The sequence below is a fragment of the Homo sapiens genome, chromosome 12 (assembly GCF_000001405.40).
Source record: "Homo sapiens chromosome 12, GRCh38.p14 Primary Assembly".
NCBI lineage: Eukaryota > Metazoa > Chordata > Mammalia > Primates > Hominidae > Homo > Homo sapiens.
Window position 1 is genome coordinate 111,624,884 of NC_000012.12, and position 27,809 is coordinate 111,652,692.

The 27,809-nt window shown below is 46.6% G+C and overlaps 1 protein-coding gene and 1 long non-coding RNA gene across 6 annotated transcripts in view, besides 1 other annotated feature; one reads left to right on the plus strand and one right to left on the minus strand.

Moving 5' to 3' along the window:
- Positions 10,536-11,139: an enhancer, noted in NCBI's record as "H3K27ac-H3K4me1 hESC enhancer chr12:112073223-112073826 (GRCh37/hg19 assembly coordinates)". NCBI's record gives its function as "activates a minimal SCP1, AML or CMV promoter by ChIP-STARR-seq in naive H9 embryonic stem cells {active_cell/tissue: H9 hESC(naive)}" and the evidence as "EXISTENCE:reporter gene assay evidence [ECO:0000049][PMID:30033119]".
- Positions 17,263-27,809, minus strand: part of BRAP (BRCA1 associated protein) — a 43,811-nt gene continuing 33,264 nt past the window's right edge. For all 5 annotated transcript variants that reach the window (XM_017019992.2, NM_006768.5, XM_005253944.5 and 2 more), the window contains 2 exons: positions 25,056-25,159; positions 17,263-19,679 (listed from right to left, as the gene is read on the minus strand). In XM_017019992.2, coding sequence (XP_016875481.1) covers positions 19,316-19,679; positions 25,056-25,159 — 468 coding nt within the window. In that variant the 3' untranslated portion in view covers positions 17,263-19,315. The remainder of the gene's footprint in view (positions 19,680-25,055; positions 25,160-27,809) is intronic.
- Positions 24,075-24,953, plus strand: LOC124903020 (uncharacterized). The gene is made up of 2 exons (XR_007063463.1): positions 24,075-24,412; positions 24,692-24,953. It is a non-coding gene; the product is annotated as an uncharacterized LOC124903020 (long non-coding RNA).

A 27,809-nucleotide genomic window follows, 5' to 3' on the forward strand; every position in this document is an offset into this window, starting at 1 on the left:
CTGCTATATGAGGATTATTCACAGGCTCCAGGGTGAGGACATGGATATCTTTGGGGGGCCATTACTCTATCCAACTACATGACACCCACACTCTAGCCAGTGAGGAATTCCTTCGCACTCTTAGGATCCATCAGGCAGTTCCCTCTGTGCCTTTGCTTCTGCTGAGTGACTCTATGACTCTATCCTATGCCTTTCTACCCGCCAGTCTCTTTACTTCAAAGATTGGCTCCAGGGCACTTAACTTTTGTAGCTTTCCTTCACCCTCACAGCCAGGAAGAATTAAGTGCACCTGGCCGGGCACAGTGGCTCACGCCTGTAATCCCAGCACTTTGGGAGGCCGAGGCAGGCGAATCACCTGAGATCAGAAGTTCAAGACCAGCCTGGCCAACATGGCAAAACTCTGTCTCTAATAAAAATACAAAAATTAGCCAGTGTGGTGGCATGCACCTGTAATCCCAGCTACTCAGGAGGCTGAGGCAGGAGAATCACTTGAACCTGGGAGGTGGAGGTTGCAGTGAGCTGAGATCAAGCCACTGCACTCCAGCCTGGGCAACAGAGTGAGACTCAGTCTCAAAAAAAAAAAAAAAGAATGAAGTGCACCCTTTCTTGTGTTCCCACAGCATGGCATTTTATGATAGTGAATCATAGTAGCCAGTTTGCATGTCTGATCACTTGTTCAAATGTGAAGTCATTGGAAGGAGAGCACTATCATCCTATATCCTTGATCATCCTTTTTTGTTTTTTTAGTTGTTGTTGTTGTGTTGTTTTGAGACAGAGTCTCACTCTGTCGCCCAGGCTGGAGTACAATGGTGCCATCTTGGCTCACTGCAACCTCCACCTTCTGGGTTCAAGCGATTCTCCTGCCTCAGCCTCCCGAGTTGCTTTTTTTTTTTTTTTTTTTGAGACAAAGTCTCGCTTATGTCTCCCAGGCTGGAGTGCGATGGTGCGATCTCGGCTCACCTCTGCCTCCCGGGTTTGAGGGATTCTCCTGCCTCAGCCTCCCGAGTAGCTGGGATTACAGGCGCCTGCCACCACGCCCAGCTAATTTTTGTATTTTTAGTAGAGATGGGGTTTCACCATGTTGGCCAGGCTGGTCACGAACTCCTGACCTCAGGTGATCCACCTACCTCGGCCTCCCAAAGTGCCGGGATTACAGGCATGAGCCACCGCACCCGGCGGTTTTTTTTTTTTGTTTTTTTTTTGTTTTTTTTTTGTTTTTTTTTTGAGACAGAGTCTTGCTCTGTTGCCCAGGCTAGAGTGAGTGCAGTGGTGCGATCTCAGCTCACTGCAACCAGTGCCTCCCAGGTTCAAGCAATTCTCCTGCCTCAGCCTCCTGAGTAGCTGGGAGTACAGTTGCCCACCATCATGCCTGGCTAATTTTTTTGTATTTTTGGTAGAGATGGGGTTTCACCATGTTGGCCAGGCCGGTCTCAAACTCCTGACCTCAAATGAGCCACCGCGTCTGGCCTGATCATCCTTTTTGTTGTTGTTGTTGATTAAAGACGGGGTCTCACTCTGTTGCCCAGGCTGGACTGTAGCAGTGTGATCACAGTTCACTGTGGCCTCCAACTCCTGGACTCAAGCGATCCTCCCACCTCAGCCTCCCAAGTAACTGGGACTTCATTGTCCTTTTGGATGCATTTTGCAAGTGTGAAAGCACTGTCCAGTCCAGCTGATGTAATAGGTGCTAGCATTGTTGAGGTGAAAATGCCCAATTGCTGCCTTCAATTATGCAACGTCTTCTTGGTTTTACTCTGCCTGGCCTTTGTTTCTTCATCCATTCCTTCGTTTATTCCAGTAGCCCTTTGTTAAGGGGCTTCTCTGAGTGAGGCCTTGCATAAATGGAGGAAAGTTGTCCCCACTTTCAAAATGCACACCATCTAGCAGGGGGAGAATCATGAGCTCAGGGGCCATGAGGGAACAGGATGGGGGCCACTAACACTGCCTGCAGGAGAGCAGGGGTGGGAAGGCTCCAACACAGAGACACCAGCAGTGCTCACTGAGCTATGCTAAGCACTACCTCATTTAATCCTGTCTAGGCGGGGCAGATACTCTTATTATTGGCCTCATTTTATAGGCTGAAATCAGAAATGTTTAGAAATGTCAAGTAACTCTCCCTAGATCACAGAACCAGGCAGTAGCAGGGCTGGGATTTGAACCCAAGAAGGCCAACTCCAGGACCATGCAGATAACCTCTGCACCACACTGTTCTGCCTTGACAGCACACCTGGTCCCTGGAGGTAGTGACACCATGCTGCTCATCTGTGACCCCCCCACCCCAGGGTACCTTGTACTTACTAGGCCCTAGATGCATATTTAAGAAAATAGTTTATTTCCTGGCCAGGCGCGGTGGCTCACGCCTGTAATCCCAGCGCTTTGGGAGGCTGAGGCGGACAGATCACCTGAGATCAGGAGTTCAAGATCAGCCCGGCCAACATGGTGAAACCTCTTCTCTACTAAAAAATACAAAAATTAGCCGGTGTGGTGGTGCATACCTGTAGTCCCAGCTACTTGGGAGGCTGAGGTGGGAGAATCGTGTAAACCTGGGAGGTGGAGGTTGCAGTGAGCCAAGATCGTGCCACTGCACTCCAGCCTGGGTGACAGAGTGAGACTCCGTCTCACAAAAAAAAAAAAAAAAAAAATTATCCAGTCGTGGTGGCACACACCTGTAATCCCAGCCACTCAGGAGGCTGAGACATGAGAATCACCTCAACCTTGGAGGCAGAGGTTGCAGTGAGCCAAGATTGCCTCACTGTACTCCAGCCTGGGCAACAGAGCAAGACCCTGTCTCAAAAAATAAAGCATTATTTCCTTAGTATTAATTAATATTGATTTGAGAGCTCCTCTCCTGTTTCTGTGTGCCTAACACTCATTGAACCCTGTGCTAAGAATTTCACAGGCATTAAGTCATTTGAGCTTCATATCAGCCCTATTGAGTGAGTATTATTACCCCCCGCTTTTTTTTTTTTTTTTTTGAGACTGGGTTTCACTCTGTCACCCAGGCACAATCATAGCTCACTGTAACCTTGAACTCCTGGGATCCTCCCAGCTCAATCTCCTGAGTAGCTGAAACTACAGGTAAGGGCCACCACCCCTGGCTTCTTCTTCTTATTATTTTTATAGAGATGGGGTCTCACTATGTTGCTGGTCTAGAACTCCTGACCTCCAGTGATCCTCCTGACTCGGACTCCCAAAGTGTTAGGATTACAGGCGTGAACCACCACACCTGGCCAACCTACATTTTACCGAGCGAGAAACTAAAGTACAACAAGAGTAAGGAATTGGTTGCAGTTCACACAACTAGAAAAGGGAGAAAGAAGCTGGGATTTGAACCTAAGTAGCACAAGCACTTAATTACTTGTTTGTAATGACTATGCAAAACAGCTTGTTTAGAGGCTTATTTCATAGTAGAGAGATGCTTTTGTAGAGAGGGAATATGGAAGGACATAGAAATTAGGAGGTAGGGCTGGGTGCAGTGGCTCATGCCTATAATCCCAGCACTTTGGGAGGCCAAGGCGGGCAGATCACTTGACCTCAGGAGTTCAAGACCAGCCTGACCAACATGGTGAAACCTTGTCTCTACTAAAAATACAAAAATTAACCAGGTTTGGTGGCACATGCCTGTAGTCCCAGCTACTTGAGAGGCTGAGGGAGGAAAATCACTGGAACCTGGGAGGTGGAGGTTGTAGTGAGCCGAGATTGCACCACTGCACTCCAGCCTAGGTGACAGAGCAAGAATCCATCTAAAAAAAAAAAAAAGAAAGAAAGAAAAAAGAAATTAGGAGATAGGAGATCTGGGGTATGACCCTAGCTCTGTAGTGTGACCAGGTAAACTCAACCTTTGCTCTGTCATTTGGTCCACAAACACTGGGGATACAGTGAAGAAAGAGGCAAAACCCTGGCTTCTGAGATTTTATAGTTTAGTGCAAGGAGGGAGGAAAAATACATGCATATAGATGAACAGAACTGTTGCCGTGAAGGAAACAGTGTTGTGGCAAAGCGTAATAGCAAATGGCTGAACCAAGGATGCTTCAGGGAACACTCACTTTATTTAGCACGAGAAGGGAGATTTGGGGAAAGCCTCTCTTAAGAGAAAACATATAAGTTGAGACCTGAAGTAAGAGAAGGCCTCAGTCATTCAAAGGGTTCAGGAGGTCATTCCTGCAAGAACAGTACATGCAAAGGTCCTGAGGTTGGAAAGAGCTTAAAAAGTCAAAGCCAGCCGGGCGCGGTGGCTCATGCCTGTAATCCCAGCCCTTTGGGAGGCCAAGGTGGGTGGATCATGAGGTCAAGAGATTGAGACCATCCTGGCCAACATGGTAAAACCCCATCTCTACTAAAAATACAAAAACTAGCTTGGTGTGGTGGTGCATGCCTGTAGTCCCAGCTACTCGGGAGGCTGAGACAGAAGAATCTCTTGTACCCAGGAGGCGGAGGTTGCCAAGATTGCGGCACTGCACTCCAGCCTGGTGATAGAGCGAGACTCGGTTTCAAAAAAAAAAAAAAAAAAAAAAGTCCAAGCCATGTGTAATGGGTTGAATTGCATCTTCCCCAAACTCATATGCTGCAGTCCTAACCCACAGTACCTCACAATGTGACCTTATTTGAAGATAGGGTTTTTCTTTTTTTTTTTTTTTTGGAGACTGAGTTTCGCTCTTGTTGCCCAGGCTGGAGTGCAATGGTCCGATCTCAGCTCACCGCAACCTCCACCTCCTGGGTTCAAGCGATTCTCCTGCCTCAGCCTTCTGAGTAGCTGGGATTACAGGTGCCCACCACCACCCCCAGCTAATTTTGTATTTTTAGTAGGGATGGGTTTTCTCCATGTTGGCCAGGCTGGTCTCAAACTCCCGACCTCAGGTGATATGCCCACCTTGGCCTCCCAAAGTGCTGGGATTACAGGCGTGAGCCACTGTGCCCGGCTGGAGATAGGGTTTTTAACAGAAGTAACCAAGTTAAAATAAGGTCATTAGGATGTATCCTGACCCAATATGACTGGTGTCTTAAAAGAAGGAATAGACACATGCACACAGGGGAACGCCATGTGAACATCAAGGCAGAGATCTTTGCTGGGTACTTTTCATGAATTTGGCTGGGATAACTGGGCTTGCTTGGCTCGCATCCATGTGGTCTCTCATCCACCAGCAGACTAACCTGGGCTTGTTTTCCTAGAGGTTGGGCAGGGTTTTGAGACAGAATAGAATTTTAAAAGGCCTCTTGAGGCTCAGAACTATCACAGTATTGCCGGGTGCAGTGGCTCACGCCTGTAATCCCAGCACATTGGGAGGCCGAGGCAGGCAGATCACTTGAGGCCAGGGGTTCGAGACCAGCCTGGGCAACATGGTGAAACCCTGTCTCTACTAAAAATACAAAAATTAGCTGGGTATGGTAGCACATGCCTGTATTCCCATGAGGCTGAGGCAGGAGAATCGTTTGAACCTGGGAGGCAGAGGCTGCAGTAAACTGAGATTGTGCCACTGCACTCCAGCCTGGGCGACAGAGCAGGACTCCATCTCAAAAAAAAAAACAAAACAAAAAAAAACCGAAAACAAAAAACTGTCACAGTGTCACTTTTGCTGAAGCAAAAGTTGTGGTCTAAAGCAAGTCACAATACTAGCCCAGATTCAGTGGGGTGGAGATGCTGCAGAGTCACATTGTGGGGGGAATAGTGAGCCATTTTTTGCACACAGTCTACCATCGTGGCCTTCCCTGACTATCCTACCTAACACAGCCCTCCCCTCCATCCCAATTACACTGTTTTACCTTTTTTCCTGGCATTTACCATTATCTGAAATTTTATATATTAATAATTTTGTTTCTTTTCAGGATGGCAGTGCCTGGACTCTTGGCCTTCATTGCCATATCCCCAGAACCTAGGCAGTGTCTAGCACTTATTAGGCCCTGAAGGAATTTTTGAAAGAATAAAGAAATCATGTAAAAAGAATATGCATGCTGGGCACAGTGGCTCACACCTGTAATCCCAGCACTTTGGGAGGCCAATGAGGGCAGATCATTTGAGGTCAGGAGTTGGAGACCAACATGCCCAACATAGTGAAACCCGGTCTCTACTAAAAATACAAAAGTTAGCTGTGTGTGGTGGCATGTGCCTGTAATCCCAGCTACTCAGGAGGCTGAGGCAGGAGAATCACTTGAACCTGGGAGACAGAGGTTGCAATGAGCTGAGATTGTGCCACTGCACTCCAACCTGGGTGACAGAGCGAGACTCTATCTCAAAAAAAAAAAAAAGAATATGCATAGAAAATACCAGATGATTAGCTGGGTGTGGTGGTGTGTGCCTGTAGTCCCAGCTACTTGGGAGGCTAAGGTGAAATAATTGCTTGATCTTGGAAGGTTGAGGCTGCAGTAAGCTGTGATCATGCCACTGCACTCCAGCCTGAGTGACAGAGCAAGACCCTGTCTCAAAACAAACAAACAAAAATACCAGAAGAAACATACTCTAAAGTGTTAATAACTTCCTCTGTTGAGATAACCATTTAATTTTCTTTATGTTTTTCTGTTTAAAAAATATAACATTGTATTTTTTAACAGGGGAGATAGAAATATTCTACACATCTTGATTTGGGTAGTGATTACATGGGTATATACAATTCTCAAAACTCTTTGAACTGAGCACTTAAGATCTGCATTCTATTGTATGTTTTTTATTATTATTATTATTATTATTATTATTATTTGAGACAGAGTTTTGCTCTTGTTGCCCAGGCTGGAGTGAAATGGCACCATCTCTGCTCACTGCAACCTCCACCTCCCAGGTTCAAGCAATTCTCCTGCCTCAGCCTCCCAAGTAGCTGGGATTACAGGTGCACACCACCACGCCTAATTTTTTTGTATTTTTAGTAGAGATGGGATTTTGCCATTTTGGCCAGGCTGGTCTTGAACTGTTGACCTCAGGTGATACGCCTGCCTTGGCATCCCAAACTGCTGGGATTACAGGTGTGGGCCACTGCGTGGGGCCTATTGTATGTTAATTATATCTCAATAAAAAATAAACACACAAGCAATATACTTTTGTACTTCCTATTGTCTAATAGCATTTAGAATATATAAGTAGGGGCTGGGTGCGGTGGCTTGTGCCTGTAATCCCAGCACTTTGGGAGGCCGAGGTGGGTGGATCACGAGGTCAGGAGATCGAGACCATCCTGGCTAACACAGTGAAACCCCATGTCTACTAAAAATACAAAAAATTAGCCGGGTGTGGTGGCGGGCGCCTGTAGTCCCAGCCTCTTGGGAGGCTGAGGCAGGAGAATGGTGTGAACCTGGGAGGCAGAGCTTGCAGTTAGCCGAGATCACACCACTGCACTCCAGCCTGGGTGACAGAGTGAGACTCCATCTCAAAAAAAAAAAAAAAATGTATATATATATATATGTAGGATAAGTGGAAGTAGGTGAAAATCTAAGCTCAGTAGCACAAATATAGCTATTAAATCAGATCATAGGCCGGGTGTGGTGGCTCACGCCTGTAATCCCAGATTTTTGGGAGAATGAGGTGGGTGGATCCTTTGAGGTCAGGAGTTCGAGACCAGCCTGGCCAACATGATGAAACCCACCTCTGCTAAAAATACAAAAATTAGGCCGGGCACGGTGGCTCATGCCTGTAATCCCAGCACTTTGGGAGGCCAAGGTGGGTGGATCACCAGGTCAGGAGATCAAGACCAGCCTGGCCAACATGGTGAAGCCCCATCTCTACTAAAAATGCAAAAATTAGCTGGGCATGGTGGCGCATGCCTGTAATCCCAGCTACTTGGGAGGCTGAGGCAGGAGAATCACTTGAACCCGGGAGGCAGAGGTTGCAGTGAGCTGAGATTGCGCTACTGCACTCTAGCCTGGCAACAGAGCGAGATTCCATCTAAAAAAAAAAAAAAAAATTATCCAGGCGTGGTGGCAGGCACCTGTAGTCCCAGCTACTTGGGAGGCTGAGACAGGAGAATCGCTTAAACCCAGGAGGTGGAGGTTGCAGTGAGCCAAGATCACGCCACTGCACTCCAGCCTGGACAACAGAGCAAGACTGTCTCAAAAAAGGAAAAAACAAAACATCAGATCATAAATTGAACTTATAATTTTTTTGCTTTTTTTTAGACGGAGTCTCGCTCTGTCGCCAGGCTGGAGTGCAGTGGCGCAAGCTCCGACTCCCGGGTTCAAGTGATTCTCCTGCCTCAGCCTCCCAAGTAGCTGGGATTACTTGTGCACGCCACCACGCCCAGATAATTTTTGTATTTTTAGTAGAGATGGGTTTTCACCATGTTGGCCAGGATGGTCTCAATCTCCTGACCTTGTGATCTGCCCGCCTTGGCCTCCCAAAGTGCTGGAATTACAGGTGTGAGCCACTGTGCCTGGCTTAAACTTGTTATTACATAATATTTTTTTAAAAGGCCGGGTACAGTGGCTCATGCCTGTAATTGCAGCACTTTGGGAGGCCGAGGCAGGCAGATCACTTGAGGCCAAGAGTTTGAGACCAGCCTGGCCAACATGGTGAAACTCCGTCTCTACTAAAAATACAAAAAATTAGCCGGTGTGGTGCCGCAAGCCTGTAATCGCAGCTACTTGGGAGGCTGAGGCAGGAGAATTGCTTGAACCTGGGAGGCAGACGTGCAGTGAGCCAAGATTGCACCACTGCACTCTAGCCTAGGAGACTCCGTCTCAAAAAAAAAACAAAGAAAAAGCTCTTGGACACATTTGCACATAGACATACACACAGCACCAATTTACATCTGCCAAATTAATACTGCTTTATAATATCCTCTAGTAGTTTGTAAGATTTTTGTTCTAGGCTTTCTCTCTCCCCATGTGTTCTATAATAAATTGAAGCTGCAAATTAAGCCGATCCCTCCAGAATATCCAGTTTCCAGTTAGCCTGTTTATGCCCTTTTGACTGTGCCTCTGGGGGCACTAGCAGAGTCTGCACTCTTACAGAGAGAACACCTTAGAGCCTGGATAGCCTTGTTCCAGAAGCGACTTTTCCAATGGAGCAAATGTCCATGAGGCTCTGGATAAAGGAACTGAGATGTCAGTGTAAATGGCTGCTGTGGGCTGGGCCCCAAGCTCCCCAGGGTGAAGGGGCCAGCACAGTCCATTGAAATGAATTCCCAAGGCCAGCCCTTGGGTATAGTGGGGGGAAACCCTGTGGCTTTCCTCTTCCTTTCTCTTTATCAGCTCAGGCGCCCCATTGAAGTGGGAAAGGAGAGAGGGAGAAGTTAGAAAACTCCATGAGAAGAGGCTAGGGTTGGTGGCTCACGCCTGTAATCCCAGCACTTTGGGAGGCCGAGGTGGGCAGATCACCTGAGGTCAGGAGGTCCAGACCAGCCTGGCCAAGATAGTGAAACCCCATCTCTACTAAAAATACAAAAACTAGCTGGGCGTGGTGGCGGGTGCCTGTTAATCCCAGCTTCTCAGGAGACTGAGGCATGAGAATTGCTTGAACCCTGGAGGTGGAGGTTGCAGTTAGCCAAGATCGTGCCACTGTGCTCCAGTCTGGACAATAGAGCTAGAGACCCCTTCTCAAAAAAAAAAAAAAAAAAAAGGGAAGGCTGGCAGAGGGTGGATGTTCAGGACCCTGGACTCACACAAAAGTGGCCTCAACTCAGTACTCTCCTTTCCCAAAACAACAAAATCGAACTAGGAGCTGTGTCTTTTACATTCCCAAGTCCCAAAGTTAGGGGAGATAGTAGAGCAGAGTGGTGATAAGCCCAGGTTTTGGGGTTAGATGATGTCAAGATTGAGAATTGACTGAGTGTGGTGGACTGCAACTGTCATCCCAGTGCTTTGGGAGGCGGAGGTGGGAGGATCACTTGGAATTCAAGGTCAGCCTGGGCAACATAGCAAGATCCCATGTCTACAAGAACAAACAAATTAGCTGGGCATGGTGGTGTACCTGTAGTCCCAGCTACTCAGGAGGCTGAGGCAGGAGGATCACTTGAGCCCAGGAGTTTGAGACTGCAGTGAGCTATGATCGCGTCACTGCACTCCAGCCTGGGCGACAGAGACCTTGTTTATTAAAAAAAAAAAAAAGAAAAGAAAAGAAAAAGGGCCGGGCACAGTGGCTTATGTGTATAATCTCAGCATTTTGGGAGGCTGAGGTGGGAGGACCACTTGAGCCCAGGAGTTCCAGATCAGCCTGGGCAACATAGGAGACCCCCAAAATAAGAAAAAGTTAGCTGGGCATAGTGGCACGCTCCTGTGGTCCCAGCTACTCAGGAGGCTGAGGTGGGAGGATCGTTTAAGTCCAGGGAGGTTGAGGCTGCCATGAGCCATGATCACACCACTGCACTCTAGCCTGGGCAAGAGTGAGACCCTGTCTCTAAAAAAAAAAAAAAAAAGAAGAGAGTGAGAGGGCTGGGCACAGTGGCTCACGCCTGTAATCCCAGCACTTTGGGAGGCAAAGACAGGTGGATCACCTGAGGTCAGGAGTTTGAGACCAGCCTGACCAACATGGATGGAGAAACCCTGCCTCTATGAAAAATAAAATAAAATAATTAGCTGGGCCTGGTGGCAGGTGCCTGTAATTCCAGCTACTCAGGAGGCTGAGGCAGGAGAACTGCGTGAACCCAGGAGGCAGAGGTTGCAGTGAGCTGAGATCCCGCCATAGCACTCCAGCCTGAGTGACAAGAGCAAAACTCTGTTGCAAAAAAAGAAAAAGAGAGAGAGAATGGCCTTTATCACTTACCAGCTATGTGACCTCAGTCAGTGCTGGTCGAGTCCCATCCTGTTTCCACTGCGCCCTAGTTTCTTGCTGTGTAAAATGGGTTCACCGTAGGACCTGACAGGATTGTTGTGAGGACTGGATGAAACATACAAGGCAAGTGCTCAGCACAATGACTGGGCGGTAGGTTGTGTGAGCTAGCAGTGTAATCAAACACATCAAAACCGCAGGACAGGGCTTACTTCCATTTTTCATTCTCAGCAAGTGCAAAGGGGCTATCTCGGCTCTACGTCCTACTAAAATCCAACACAGGTTTGGGGTCTCTAGATTACCGCTCTGGCTTGCCTGATTAGGACAACCAGTGCTGGAAAAGAGGCCCCTCATAGGGATGTCCTGCTGGGATTTTCCTAGTCCACTTGGGTTCACACACGCTAACGGTAATCCAGTGAGGCTCATTAGCATCCCTTACCTCCCTTCCCACGAGAATGTTATGTCAGAAGGTGAAAAGGAAACTTTTTAAAGAGTTAACCAAAAAGGCAGCCCTCTCCTGTGGGCCATAACGGAGCTAACCGAGAAGGAGGAAGGGATGGTGTGGATGATTTCTTGGGGGGACTGTTCTGTTTTTGAAAGCGGTGGAGCATTCTGATTGACAATGGTGAGGGGCAGAGGGGCCGCAGTGAGAAGAAAAGGACAGGAGTGAGCCGTAGCATTACTCTAGCCAAACAGAGCCAGGAATCTCGCCAACGAGAAAGTGCAGGATTGGCAGCAACCGAGAGATCCCGCATGGACTTTTAGGAAAGATTCTAGGCCACAGCACGGGGCCTCCTCCGTCTCAGCCAGGATAATTCTGGCATCAGCCCCCGGCCCAGGCGTGTTCCCACATAATTGAAGTCGAATGTGCTGGGGGAGAGGCCTCCGCATTCCTCCTGGCTGTGGAATCCTCAGTGCCCTGCAGTTGGCCCTGTTTGGGATCAAAGCCAGTTCGTGTTGATTTTCCGCAGCATGGAAACAAATGCGACGAAGCTGTTTTCCTGAGGCAGGCATTTTGAAAAGAGGATCTTAATTTTTTTCCCCAAGGACAGGTGGGGTGGGGAGGTGGGGGAGTGCCACGTGGCTCCTCTCTTGCTGTCCCTTTTGCAAACAGTTGGGCTCATAGTGTCTGCATGAGCAGAAACTGATCAGTTAGAATATGAGTGAATACAGCTACAGCTAAGGTTGCTTCTATCACAAAAGATAATTCCTAAAAAATGCTGCCGGAAGACCCTCTGGCTGCGTGTGATAAGTCACAATTTGGTTGCTCTCTGTTGGAGTGTTTCCAAGATAGCAACTCTCCTTTTTCCTCCTAAAATTTTCTGCTTACATGTCTTAACTTCTAGGTCTTTCTCTGTAATCTGTTGTGCCTGTAAAATTAATTCCTGTCCCTTCTTTTTAGTTAGCACTGAAGCCTTTTAGTGCTAAGCATTATGCTAATGATGTAAACTGATACAGGCGAGTTTCTTAAGTTGTGGAAACATCTTTATTTATTTATTTTTTTTAGACAGAGTCTCGCTCAGCCGCCCAGGCTGGAGTGCAGTGGCGTGATCTCGGCTCACTGCAACCACCGTCTCTCTGGTTCAAGTGATTTTCCCGTCTCAGCCTCCTGAGTAGCTGGGATTACAGGCACCTGACATCATGCCCGGCTAATTTTTTGTATTTTAGTAGAGACAGGGTTTTGCCATGTTGGCCAGGCTGGTCTCAAACTCCTGACCTCAGGTGATCCGCCCGCCTCAGCCTCACAAAGTGCTGGGATTACAGGCATGAGCCACCGCACCCGGCCGGAAACATCTCATTCTTTTACAGGGGACTTGAGTTCTCCCAGTTCTCTAGGGAAAACCTGAACTTTTGCCTATTGGGCCATAATCAAGGGATTGAGAATTAGAACCAGGAGTTGATATAGCTGGGAGAGCAGTGGTGCGATCATAGCTCACTGCAAGCTCGAACTCCTGGGCTCCAGAGATCCTCCTGCCTTAGCCTCCTGAGTAGCTGGGACTACAGGCATGCGCCACCCCTGGCTAATTGTTTTTAATTTTTAGTAGAGACAAGGTCTATGTTGCCCAGGCTGGTCTTGAACTCCCAGCCTCAAGCGATCCTCTTATCTCGGCCTCCCAGAGTGTTGGGATGACAGGTGTGAGCCACAGCACCTAGCCTGGGCTCTTCCTTTTTAAATTAGGAAACACATGTACCAGGAAATCTGGTCTGGAACCTGCTGCTTCTTCTGGGCAAAAAAAATGGCAGAAGACATCCTCACAGAGGCCAAGTTGGAACTGTTTTTCCTATTTGGCATTTATGCTTAGTGCTGTAGATTTACTTTTACTTTTTTTTTTTTTTTTTTTTTTTGAGATGGAGTTTCACTCTTGTTGCCCAGGCTGGAGTGCAATGGCGCGATCTCTGGCTCACCACAACATCTGCCTCCTGGGTTCAAGCGGTTCTCCTGCCTCAGCCTCACGAGTAGCTGGGATTACAGGCATGTGCCACCATGCCCAGCTAATTTTGTATTTTTAGTAGAGATGGGGTTTCTCCATGTTGGTCAGGGTGGTCTCAAACTCCCAACCTCAGGTGATCCTCCTGCCTCGGTCTCCCAAAATGCTGGGATTACAGTCGTGAGACACCATGCCTGGCCTGCTTTTATCTTTTGAAAATACAACACCCAGGCTGGGCGTGGTGGCTCATGCTTGTAATCCCAGCACTTTGGGAGGCCAAGGTGGGTGGATCACTTGAGGTCAGGAGTTCGAGACCAGCCTGGCCAACATAATGAAACCCCGTCTCTACTGAAAACACAAAAATTAGCTAGGTGTGATGGTGGGGACCTGTAATCCCAGCTACTTGGGAGGCTGAGGCAGGAGAATCGCTTGAACCCAGGAGGCGGAGGTTGCAATGAGCCGAGATCCAGCCACTGCACTGCACTCCAGCCTGGGTGACAGGGCAAGACTTGGTCTCAAAAAAAAACCAAAACAAACAAACAAACAAAACACCCAGATTTATCCTGAGTGCTGTACACGTTCACGTTCTGGGATCTTGCATGTAATTTCACTCTTGGACTTCCCCTCCTGGACAAACCTCCCTGCATTTGTTTCAAGGCCATCTTGAGCTGGATCGGAAAGGAGTCTTGGGTCAGGGGATTTAGAAAAAGGTCTGAAAAGAAACAAAGCTGCTTCAGTTCACTTAGTAAGTGTGGTAATTAGCCTTAGAGTAACAAATGTTATCTGCACCAGTGCAGCTCCGTGCCAAGTACCAAAACCACATTTTCCAGATGATTCCAGTGAGTTTTTCACTCGAAGCAATTCAACATTAGGCCCTAAAGACGGCAATCATCTTGTACAAAACAAGATTGTTCATTTCTTCCTTTCATGCAGCAAGAATGCAAAATCCAGATTAAGAACCAACTGCAGAACCCCTTTCTTTCATGTCCTCCTAAGCTTCCAGAATTATAGGGAGAGACTACTCAATGTTCATGAAAAGCATACTAGCTACAATAATTCTGAAATTGTTTTGGCTTCTGGAAGTACAAGTTTCCAAATTAATGTCTGATAGACCCTATGGTCGTAAATGTCTGTGAACATGTGAGTTTCAGGAATACAAGGTAAAGAAAGGTTATCACTAAAACATGAAAAGATGGCCAGGCGTGGTGGCTCACGCCTGTAATCCTAGCACTTTGGGAGGCCGAAGCAGGCAGATCACTTGAGGTCAAGAGTTTGAGACCAGCCTGGCCAACAGGGCAAAACCCCATCTCTACTAAAAATACAAAAATTAGCCGGGCATGTAGTATGCACCTATAATCTCAGCTACTCAGGAGGCTGAGACACGAGAATCACTTGAACCCAGGAGGCAGAGGTTGCAGTGAGCTGAGATGGTGCCACTGCACTCCAGCCTGGGGGACAGAGCGAGACTCCATCTCAAAAAAAGAAAGAAAGAAAGAAAGAAGTTGTTGATTATGGCAATTAATCAGGATAAAGAGGCCAGCCCCCACTCCAGTAAAAATTAAAAGCCTTATGTAACTTCCCTGAAGTTCACTAATACCCAAATGCAAATAATGCTTTTCACTTGCTCCAGGGAGACTACAGAACAGGGTTTGGGGGAGGCCAGTGGGTGAGGGTGGGAGGTGCAAAATCAACTTCACCTTGCAGAGGAGAAGCAGACACTTGGCCTTGGCTCTAGGATAAAACTTGGGGTTCCTAAAGGACAGGCTTTTCTCCCTCTTACTGCTTCACTCTTTACTGTCAAAGCTATATCTGGGCCAGGCGCAGTGGCTCACACCTGTAATCCCAGCACTTTGGGAGGCCGAGGCAGGCAGATCACTAGAGGCCAAGAGTTTGAGACCAGCCCGGCCAACATGGCAAAAGCCCATCTCTACCAAAATACAAAATACAAAAAATACAAAAAATGGCTGAGCACAGTGGCTCATGCCTATAATCCCAGTACTTTGGGAGGCCGAGTAGGTGGATCACTTGAGGTCAGGAGTTCGAGACCAACCTGGCCAACACGGCAAAACCCCATCTCTACAAAAAATACAAAAATTAGCCAGGCATGGTGGTGTGTGCCTGTAATCCCAGCTACTTGGGATGCTGAGGCATGAGGATTGCTTGAACCCAGGAGGCGGAGGTTGCAGTGAGCTGAGATCGCGCCACTGCACTCCAGCCTGGGCAACAGAGTGAGGCTCTGTCTCAAAAAAAAAAAAAAAAGCTGCATCTGTTGGTGCAACCATTTTATAGGTATTCTGGGTCTCTATTTCAAGAATTTTCACAGGGAAGCATGAAAAGGACTGGCCAACAGAAAAGGTCTGCCACAGAATACTCGGTGGCTTCCTAAACTCGATTAAGGTGACAGCCTGGTCTCTGGGTAGTTTAAAGGACCCCCAGCACTGTTAAGGTGCAGCTGATTCTTAAGAGACTTTTAATTTCCCTTCTGCTGCCAAGAGAAGTGATGCAGCAGAGTCACTATGCAGCAGTTAATTCAGCTTTATCCTGGAGAAAATAAGAGTGACTTTTTCCTTTTTTAGATAAGCCCATGGCATCGCACAAGCCAAAATATGCCACCAGCCCAAGCAACGTGGCATCATGCATGGCAGCCAAATCTCATGGATGGTATTTGTAGCTTGTGGAGCCTGACTGTACTAGGAGAGGGGTTTCTAAACGATGACAGAAGGTTGTTCATTCGTGATTTGCCAAGTTCTCCACACTCTACTAGCTGGCTGTGGAAATCAGTTTCTCAGCCCTTTTGAGGAGGACAACTTTGCCATGCAAGCAGAGAGTGGGTAGTTGCTTCAGTGTTTATATATTGATCAATATATTCTAGCAAGTCACATTTATGACGGTTTCCCACCAAGAACAAACCCCCCCACCAAAACAATCTCAGCTTAGTGGGAAATAGTCTCAGGTGTAAAAATTGCTTTTAGTGGCTGGGTGCGGTGACTCACAACTGTAATCCCAGCACTTTGGGAGGCTGAGGCGGGTGGATCACTTGAGGTCAAGAGTTCGAGACCAGCCTCGCCAACATGACAAAACCCCATCTCTACTAAAAATACAAAAAATTAGCTGGGCATGGTGGCACATGCTATAAGCGCAGCTACTCGGGAGGCTGAGGCAGGAGAATCGCTTGAACCCAGCGGGTGGAGGTTGCAGTGAGCCAAGGTGGAGCCACTGCACTCCAGCCTGGGAGACAGAACAAGACTGTCTCAAAAAAAATAAAAAATAAAAAAATGTGCTTTTAGTTTGCAAGAGTTGTGTGCCTAGGACTTCCCTTGCCCAGTTCAGCTACTTTTCACTAGTTTGGGAACCTGGAAGAAGGGAGTGGAAAGATGAATAATCTAGATGCTCACTATATTGTTGAGGGTTTTTTTTTTTTTTTTTTTTTGAGACAAGGTCTGTTGCCCAGGCTGGAGTACAGTGGTATAATCACAGCTCACTGCAGTCTCGAACTCCTGGGTTCAAGCGATCCTCCCACCTCAGCCTCCCAAATAGCTGGGACTACAGGTGTGCAAGACCATGCCCGGCTAATCAAAAACTTTTATTATTATTATTTTTTTTGGTAGAGATTGGGTCTGGCCATGTTGCCCAGGCTGGTCTTGAACTCCTGACCTCAAGCATTCCTCCCACCTCAGCCTCCCAAAGTGGTGGGATTACAGATGTGAGCCACCGCACCCAACCAAGGGGCTGATTTTTACGTTGCTTTTTAAATCAAGGCCACTTTTTTTTTTTTTTTTTTTTTTTGAGATGGAGTCTCGCTCTGTCACCCAGGCTGAAGTGCAGTGGTGCAATCTCGGCTCACTGCAAGCTCTGCCTCCCGGGTTCATGCCATTCTCCTGCCTCAGCCTCCCAAGTAGCTGGAACTACAGGTGCCTGCCACCATGCCCAGCTAATTTTTTTTTTTGTATTTTTAGTGGGGACGGAGTTTCACCATGTTAGCCAGGATGGTCTCGATCTCCTGACCTCATGATCCGCCCGTCTCAGCCTCCCAAAGTGCTGGGATTACAGGCGCTGAGCCACTGTGCCCAGCCGACACTTTCTTAGATTATTAGAGACATGCTCCCAAGCAAATGTCAGTCAGAGACACACATTTCACACGGGGCAGAATAATTTCAAAGTTTGGCTATTTTAATTCAATTTCATTGTTCAAGGTAGTATGGGTATATTAAGTGGTTCATTTCCCTCCTGAAGAAAACAACTTCTGTCTGATGTGATTTTGTGAAATTCAAACATGACTCTTTGACTGTTTAAAAAAAAATTTTTTTTTCTTTACGTATCTTGGTAAGATTTTTTTTTTTTCTGGGACATATTTTTTGTAAACCTCCAAGTAGTTTGGAAACACTTGCCTATTTGCTCATTCCTCTGGGCACAGCCTTTCAGAGCATTTATCCCACCTGTACTGAAAAATCTGTTTTCCCAGGTGGTGGTGGGGCCACTGGATAGAAGGGATCACAGAGAAATGAGGAGTGAGCGAGCTTTGTAAACTACTTCTAATTCTCTTCATTAGTATGCTATGATCCACCCCAGCTTCTGCAAGGTCAGACATGCAAGACAAGTACTTGGCCAAAACAGCAGGATTCTAACTAGTGTAAAAATAGATTTTAAATAAAATAGAATCTCTATAGGAAAGAGAATTAGGTTATGCTTTACATTCCCACTCTTAAGATATCTGTATATATAAGTCCAAGAGAGACTCAAAGAGTTGGTCTGCCCTAAGTAAAAATTAAGAATGTCTGAGTACATTCATTTTGCAACATTACACGTAAAGTTTTTTGGGAAATGCTGCAGCACATCCCACAAAAACAGATGGTGATTAGTGATACAGTTGATGTGCTAACAAGTAACATGTAAGACATTTAGGTCAAAGGGGATGAGGCCTAATTACAGGCTAAAAACCTATTCTGAAATGTGATCATTTGAAAACCTGTGGCTAATTATAAAGCAAAAACTAAAACCTGTTGTTTAACAATACATCTTACTAACCTATCCCTCTACCTCTTCAAGAAACTAAATTCCAACACAGGTCTTATTTTAAGTTTGCTCAATTACTGCAGGTTATAAATTATTTGACATTTATGGTTCCAGAGAGAGTACACAGCCCCTCTGTTGGCCCACACAAGCGTTATATGACTGTTCTAAAGGGGGCTCTGTTGAAATTCTAATTTTAGGATTTAGAAACAGCTTTTGGTTATATCTTGAAAGCGTAATTGAAAATCTGCCCAAGCTCCCTCTAGCTGCAACCTGAACATGCAGCCCAATATTTTGTAAACATTTAGAAAATACTAAACCCAACAAAATACACAATTAGCTAGTCAGAGGCCTCACTCTACATTTTCACACGGATGAGAAATCTCCCCACTCAGTCTTGCTAGATGCTAGGATACCCACTCTGAGATTTGAGTTTGGGAACAGCCATTAAGCCTCCTCCTTAATTGCGGTTCATAATGATGTACGAAGTCACCAAAAATAAACAGTGGAGCTGCCACCATTTTTCCTACACTGAGTCTACCCAATGTGCCCCGGGTTGTTTGTTTTTCCTGGCTGGCCCCAGAGCAAGAAGAGATGACTGCTGGTAAAGAGCCAGGGCCTGGTTTACTACCAGGCCTCTTTTCAGATAACATTCAAGCAATTCTTCCACTCCCCAGAGGAAGGGGGAGATGATAATGATATGACACTATTGCTAGGGAGTTTTCATAACTCCTTAATAGCCAATGGAAACCTCTCTTTAAAGCAGCTGTTATGCCCTCAGAGAGGTTTGGTGCTTTAGTGCTAGATAACCTTACCTTTGAGGTTACAAGAAATAACTTAACATCTTAAACCTACCCCAGAACTGAATGTCAAATACGCCAACTCCATAAATACAATGGAAAAATGCACAGCAGAGTTGGGGCTTCTACCAAGCAGGAAGGCAAAATGGTCATTAGAATGTGAGGTTAGTGAACTCTTAAGACCTTTTCGAACGCAGCGCCTTTCTATCAGCTCTCCAGTCAGCACCCTTTACATTCACTACATCACACACTAGCAAATGAAAGAGCCAAACAACTGTGGCTTGATCCTCACTTGTACTTATTAGGGCCCACCCTCACATTTAGCTGAAGGTCCCAGCACACTCTCACAGTGTCAGGGAGAACAGTCTCAGGGATGTCTGTTGCTCTGAAGGTCACTTGCCCCTCTTGCTGCGGCCCTTCCTGGAGGGCAACTTCCCACTGCCCCCCGAAGAGGCAGGGCTCGAGGCCGAGGCCATGGCGATGTTGATCTGTCCCTCCTGGATTTCCTGCCGGGTCTCGGCAGGCAGATGGTTGATCTTCTGCTGTGTCTCCAGGTAGAACATGACGTCACGCAGCTGCTCCTGGATCTCGGTGATCTGCAGATCTTTTTGGTCACAGGTCTCCTTCAGCACCCTCTCCTCCTCTTTTAGCTTGTTCTGCAGGAGGACTTGGTTGGCTCGCAAACACTTGTTCATTTCCTGCTCCTCTTTGAGCTCGTTGGTGAGTTTGGCCACTTTTGTGTTTAGCTGAGTGCACCTTTTGAAAAACAAAGGAAGACAAAAGCACATTTTTCATTTGCTGACACAGTCCCCTTTCTGCTCTGGGATTGAACAGAGAAACCATGACCTCAGAATCCCTTTAGGACAGACCCCTTTCTCCCATCGTGAGGGAGAATGGTTTTCTGCCATCGCAATCAGCTATGCAAAGCAAGAATTTTGCTCTACTTAACACAAGTGTATTTTTTTTTGAGACGGAGTTTCGCTCTTGTTGCCCAGGCTGGAATGCAATGGCACGATCTCAGCTCACTGCAACCTCCACCTCCTGGGTTCAAGCGATTCTCCTGCCTCAGCCTCCCAAGTAGCTGGGATTACAGGCACCTGCCACTATGCCTGGCTAATTTTTGTATTTTGAGTAGATATTGGGGTTCGGCATGTTGGCCAGGCTGGTCTTGAACTCCCAACCTCAGGTGATCCACCTGTCTCGGCCTTCCAAAGTACTGGGATTACAGGCATGAGGCACTGCGCCAGTCCACAAGTGTATTATTTATTTATTTATTTTTTGAGATGGAGTCTCACTCTGTTGCCCAGGCTGGAATGCAGTGGCGTGATCTTGGCTCACTGCAACCTCTGCCGCTTGGGTTCAAGCGATTCTCCTGCCTCAGCCTCCTAAGTAGCTGGGATTACAGGTGCCTGCCACTGTGCCCAGCTAATTTTTGCATTTTTAGTAGCGACGGGGTTTCACCATCTTGGCCAGGCTGGTCTGGAACTCCTGACCTTGTGATCCACCCACCTTGGCCTCCCAAAGTGCTGGGATTACAGGTGTGAGCCACCGCGTCCAGCCCACAAATGTACTTTTAAGACACTTTTTTTTAAGCATCAGAAAGTTTTCAGTAGCAGAAACTATTCTGTGACTGACGGTAAAAATTCTACTGCTTCTTTGTTTTGCAGTCAGTGGTTAAATAGGTGCCTTCGAGATGATAGCTGTGATAAGGAAGTTATGAGGAAAAGTGGCATTCTTGGAGAGTCAAGTACTCTGACTTCATTGCATTTGCTGAAGGGGAAAAAAAGGGCACTTATTCTAACCAAAGGGCTTTAGACTTGGGAGTGCCCTATTCTTGATGTCCAGTCTTACTCATAAGTAAAGAATTGCAAATGAAACCACCATTTGAGGCCAGGTGCATTGGCTCATGCTTGGAATCCCAGCACTCTGGGAGGCTGAGGCGAGAGGATCGCTTCAGTAAATGAAACAGGAAATGAGTTCGAGACCAGCCTGGGCAACAAAGTAAGACCCTGTCTCTACACAAAATCAAAAAACTTAGCCAGGTGCAGTGGCGTGCACCTGTGGTCCCAGATTTACAGGAGGCTGAAGCTGGAGGATTGCTTGATCCCAGCAGGTCAAGGCTGCAGTGAGCTGTGTTCATGCTACTGCACTCCAGCCTGAGTGACAGAACGAGATCTTGTCTCAAACAAACAACCCATACCATCTGAGACCCAGCAGAGTGGCTCATGTCTGTAATCCCAGCACTATGGGAGGCAAAAGTGAGAGGGTCACTTTGAAATCAGCCCGGTCAACATAGCGAGACACCGTCTATACAAAAGAAAAATTAAAAAACTAGCTGGGTGTGGTGATGTGCACTTGTAGACCCAGCTACTTGGGAGGCTGAGGCAGAGGACTGCTTGAGCCCAGGAATTTGAGCCTGCAGTGGGCTGTGATTGCATCACTGCACTCCAGCCTGTCTGACAGAGTAAGACCCTGTCTCAAAAAAACAACAACAAAAACCAAAAACACTCACACACAAAAACCACGAACAAAAAAACCCCACTATTTGAGATACTATTTTTATGCATCAGAACACCCAAGAGCTGAGACATGAGAAAAGAGGCACTTACACACTAGCACTGGAGCATGAACTGGTATAAACTCTTTCGAAGACAACTTGGCAATATCTATAAAAACAAAAAATTTGGGCCAGGCACGGTGGCTCACGCCTGTTATCCCAGCACTTTGGGAGGCCGAGGAGGGTGGATCACGAGATCAGGAGTTCAACATCAGCCTGGCCAACATGGTGAAGCTCCGTTTCTACTAAAAATACAAAAATTAGCCGGGTGTGGTAGCGTGTGCCTGTAATCCCAGCTACTCGGGAGGGTGAGGCAGGAGAACTGCTTGAACCCTAGAGGCGGAGGCTGCAGTGAGTCGAGATCGTGCCACTGCACTCCAGCCTGTGTGACAGAGCAAGATTCCGTCTCAAAAATAAATAAATAAAAACAAAAAATTTGCATGCCCTTTGACACAGCTATTTTACTTCTAGGAATTTATACCATAGAATAGATATACTCAGGATTAGGTAAAAAGAGACATGGAGGAAGATGCTCATTACAGTATTGCTTATAGTAGTGTGAGATTTGACACAACTTGACACAATCAATAGGAACCTGGTCAAAATCATTATGCAGGCCAGGTGCAGGGCTCATGCCTATAATCCTAGCATTTTTGGAGGCCAAGACAGGATCAAGGAGGAGGATCACTTGAGGCTAAGAGTTCAAAACCAGCCTGGGCAATATGGCAAGACCCCGTCTCTACAAAAAAATTTTCAATTGGGCAGACATGGTAGCACACACCTGTAGTCCTAGCTACTCAGGAAGCTCAGACTAGGAGGACCACTTGAGCCCAGTAGCTGGAGGTTGCAGTGAACTATGATTACGCCACTGTACTCTGGCCTAGGCAACACAGCAAGACCTTATTTCAACAACAACCACCACAACAGAAATCATTATAGTACATCCATACAATTAAACAGCATGCAGATGTTACAAAGATCAGGATAGATTTAGATGTGCTAGTATGAAAAAAAATCCAAAAACATATTTTATCAAAAAGAATACCTAGATTCTATTTTTGCAGAGAAAAGATTATGCATGTGAGATATTTATGTGGGCAGAGCTAAACATCTAGAAGAAGAAATATTCACTGGTACTGGTTAATAATGGTTAACACTAGATAGCAGGATCTAGAGGGTGAAAAAGAACTTCCAGTTTTTGCAGGGTGTGGTGGCCCATGCCTGTAATGGTAAAACAGTCTCTGCAAAAAATTAGCCAGAGGCCAAGCACGGTGGCTCACGCCTGTAAAACCAGCACTTTAGCAGGCGGATCACCTGAGGTCGGGAGTTTGAGACCAGACTGACCAACATGGAGAAACCCTGTTTCTACTAAAAATACAAAATTAGCCACGCATGGTGGTGCATGCCTGTAATTCCAGCTACTTGGGAGGCTGAGGCAGGAGAATTGCTTGAACCCCGGAGGCAGATGTTGCAGTGAGCCGAGATCACACCATTGCAGCCTGGGCAACAAGAGCGAAACTCCGTCTCAAAAAAAAAAAGAAAAAAAGAAAAAAAAATTAGCCAGGGGTGGTGGTGCACAGCTGTAGTCCAGTTACTTGGGAGGCTGAGGTGGGAGGATCACCTGAGCCTAGGGAGGTGGAAGATGTAGTGAGCTGGCCGAACACAGTGGCTCAAGGCTGTAATCCCAGCACTTTGGGAGGCTGAGGAGGGCGGATCATGAGGTCAAGAGATCGAGACCATCCTGGCCAACATGGTGAAACCCCGTCTCTACTAAAAATCCAAAAATTAGCTGGGTGTGGTGGTGTGCTCCTGTAGTCCTAGCTACTCGGGAGGCTGAGGCAGGAGAATCACTTGAATCCGGGAGGCGGAGGTTGCAGTGAACTGAGATCGCTCCACTGTACTCCAGCCTATTGCGCCACTGCACTCCAGCCTGGCGACAGAGCAAGACTCTCTCTAAAAATAAAGATGGGCTGGGCACGGTGGCTCACGCCTGTAATCCAAGCACTTTGGGAGGCCAAAGCGGGTGGATCATGAGGTCAAGAGATCGAGACCATCCTGGCCAACATGGTGAAACCCCGTCTCTACTAAAAATACAAAAATTAACTGGGTGTGGTGGTGTGCTCCTGTAGTCTTAGCTACTCGGGAGGCTGAGGCAGGAGAATCACTTGAATCCGGGAGGCGGAGGTTGCAGTGAACTGAGATCGCTCCACTGTACTCCAGCCTATTGCGCCACTGCACTCCAGCCTGGCGACAGAGCAAGACTCTGTCTAAAAATAAAGATGGGCTGGGCACGGTGGCTCACGCCTGTAATCCAAGCACTTTGGGAGGCCAAAGCAGGTGGATCATGAGGTCAGGAGATCGAGACCATCTGGCTAACACGGTGAAACCCCATCTCTACTAAAAATACAAAAAAATTAGCTGGGCATGGTGGCAGGCACCTGTAGTCCCAGCTATTGGGAGGCTGAGGCAGGAGAATGGCGTGAACCCGGGAGGCGGAGCTTGCAGTGAGCCGAGATCGCGCCACAGCACTCCAGCCTGGGCAACAGAGCGAGACTCCGTTTCAAGAAAAAAAAGATGTAGTGAGCTAAGGTTGTGCCACTGTACTCCAGCCTGGGTGACAGGGAAAGACCCTGTCTCCAAAACAACAACAACAACAACAAAAAAAACCCGTCCGGTTTTTACTTTGTATTCTTTAACACAGTTGTTCAATTTGTTAGGGTGCTGAAAGTATAGGGTAATTTTTAAGTTTTACGTCTATTAATTTTGTAGTGTTGTTTTTACAATAGCTTAACAAAATTTTATTTTTGTTGAGACAGGGTCTCGCTGTTGCCCAGGCTGCAGTGCAGTGGTGAGATGTTGGCTCACTGCAGCTTCTGCCTCCCAGACTCATGTGATCCTCCTACTTCAGCCTCCTGAATAGCAGGGACTACAGGTATGCGCCACCATGCCCAGCTCATTTTTGTATTTTTAGTGGAGATGGGGTTTTACCATGTTGTCCAGGCTGGTCTTGAATTCCTGGGCTCAAGCAACCTGCCTGCCTCAGCCTCCCAAAGTGCTGGGATTACAGGCGTAAGCCACCATGCCTGGCTGGTAATTTCAATCAGTAGCAACTATCTTCCCAAATAACAGTAAATAAGGAATGTTATCGCCATGCTGTTCATGAGTTTTTTGCTCCATATTCAACATCTCTTGCCTTTAACTCCTGCCCAAGGCCACAGCATAGAACATCTCCAGCTTAGACACAGTCTCGTTCCTAACTGCCAGTTCTCAGCCACAATGGCTCAAAGAAGCCGAAGGCTCTGGATGGAAGAAAATTGCTTTCCACAGGCAAAAATGGAAGATATCTGCACACACTGCAAGTGCACAGACATCAGAAGAGAGCACTGCATTCCACATGGCATCCATCTGGTATGAAACCCCGCATTTTTTAATAAACGAGAAGCCTGTTCCATATATAGGGAGACTCCTGAAAACCTGGTGATACATATATTTGAAAATGAGGGTGTTTCCATAGGAATGAAAGAAACTGTCTGTTTATAGAGCCTGTTACAACAGAATAGACCGATTATACCTACTTTCTTTCCACAGACTGCTTTTCTTTTAGGAGATCATTTAGTTTGTGCTCTAGATTATCACACTTCTCAATTGTTTCTTTAAACTTGGTCTTCATGTTGTTAATCTGAAAGAGCAAAGAGAAATCAGATTCATTTCACAAAGGTAATGTGGTGTGCTCTTTGGGACCAACATCATATTTTTCCCCCCAATTATCTGTATATAACTTTGACAAACCAAAATTAGAGAAGGTGAGATATGGCAGTTTCCAGGCAGGGGAAAAAAATAAAGAAAAGGTGAGGTAATCATTTGAAAGAATTTCTGTAATAGGATTAAAAATGCCGGGAAATCTTTTTTTTTCTTTTTTTGAGCCAGAGTCTCGCTCTGTCGCCCAGGCTGGAGTGCAGTGGGATGATCTTGGCTCACTGCAACCTCCCGCTCTTGGGTTCAAGCAATTATCCTGCCTCAGCCTCCCAAGTAGCTGGGACTACAGGTGCCTGCCACCACGCCCGGCTAATTTTTGTATTTTTAGTAGAGACAGGGTTTCATCATGTTGGCCAGGCTGGTCTCGAACACCTGACCTCAGGTGATCCACCTGCCTCGGCCTCCCAAAATGTTGGGATTACAGGCGTGAGCCACCGTGCCCGGCCTAATTTTTCTATTTTTTAGTAGAGATGCCACGTTGGCCAGGCTGGTCTCAAACTCCTGACCTCAAGTGAGGCTTGCCTCGGCCTCCCAAAGTGCTGGGATTACAGGCATGAGCCACTGCGCCTGACCTAATTTTTGTATTTTTTGTGGAGACAAACATTGGTAATCTAAGAAACTTGTGACACTTGACTCTAGTTGTTTATTTTTTCCAATTCACAATATTTTTTTCATGTATCATGAAGCCACATGGAGTATAAGCAGTCCATGTTCTTTTGAGTCTATTTATAAAAACAATATACATAGACTAATTCATATTACACAGCCTTAAAAACATAAGAGAATTAAAAAATTCTGATGTATAACATATCAGACGGCAGCCATCCCAGCCCAGAGTATGTTGGAGTCTGGCTAGGTAGATACTGGATCCACTCCTGTGTGAAGATCTGCGAACTTGGGAATTTCCTCAACTCCACTGGTCTAAGGACACCAGCAAAAGATTTGGTGGGAAGGCAAAGTCAGGAGGCTGGGTGAACCACAAGGCAATATAACAGGAACTGAAAGTGGCTGAGAATTTAAGTCATACAGCCCAGGGATCAGCTAGACCTTTCTTTTTAATCATTTTCCATACAGCCTGCCTAGCAAGTCTCTAATAGCACTAGCTTTAATAATAATAATAATAATAATAATAATAATAGGCCGGGCATGATGGCTCACGCCTGTAATCCCGGCATTTTGGGAGGCCGAGACGGGTGGATCACGAGGTCAGGAGTTCAAGACCAGCCTGGCCAAGATGGCGAAAGCCCGTCTCTACTAAAAATACAAACATTAGTCGGGCACAGTGGCAGGCGCCTGTAATCCCAGCTACTCAGGAGGCTGAGGCAGGGAGCGGCTTGAACCAGGGAGGTGGAGATTGCAGTGAGCCAAGATCACACCACTGCACTCTAGCCTGGGAGACAGAGCAAGACACCATTACAAAAAAAATACAATACAATACAATAAAAATAAATGTTTTGTTCAAATTAACTTTATAGCCAACCTCCACTGGAAGAACATGGAAGAAAGATTTCTTTTCTTTTTTTTTTTTTTTTTTTTGAGACAGAGTCTTGTTCTGTCACCCAGGCTGGAGTGCAATGGCGCTATCTTGGCTCACTACAACCTCCAACTCCCGGGTTCAAGCAATTCTCCTGCCTCAGCCTCCTGAGCAGCTGGGACTACAGGTGCATGCCACCACGCCCAGCTAATTTTTGTATTTTTAGTAGATACGAGGTTTCACCATATTGGCCAAGCTGGTCTTGAACTCCTGACCTCATGATCTGCCCGCCTCGGCCTCCCAAAGTGCTAGGATTACAGGCATAAGCCACCACGCCTGGCTGGAAGAGAGATTTCTAAATGTACTTCTCTGTCATAAAAATCAAAATAGATTTAAAATCGCTCAAATTCTAGTTAGGTATTAATTTTCTCTTCAATATTATTTTAAAATAACAGAGCACTAGATCCTTTTGAAATTTTCTTCTAAACTGACTCCTGTCAGTTTAAGGAAGTTGAAAAGGACAGAAATTACTATCCTAAGGAACCAAACTGTACATGTCTTGGACAGTAAAGATACTTAAGCCAAACACATTTAAATCAAGATGAAAATATAAAGGTAACCCTACAAAGGTTGGTTGGTTTGTTTTTTGAGATGGAGTCTCACTCTGTCGCCCAGGCTGGAGTGCAGTGGTGCAATCTCGGCTCACTGCAAACTCCGCCTCCTGGGTTCATGCCATTCTCCTGCCTCAGCCACCTGAGTAGCTGGGACTATGGGCACCCGCTACCACGTCCAGCTAATTTTTTGTATTTTTAGTACAGACGGGGTTTCTCTGTGTTAGCCAGGATGGTCTAGATCTCCTCACCTTGTGATCTGCCTGCCTCGGCCTCCCAAAGTGTTGGGGTTACAGGCATTAGCCACTGCGCCTGGCCAGAAAGGTTCTTAATATTGCTACAGACAAATGTTAACAACGATTTAAATTAGTGCTTATTAAAACATTTCTGGTCCAGTGCCATGGCTCACGCCTGTAATCCCAGCCCTCTGGGAGGGCCGTGGCAGAAGGTTTGCTTGAGCCCAGGAGTTGGAGATCAGCCTGGGCAAC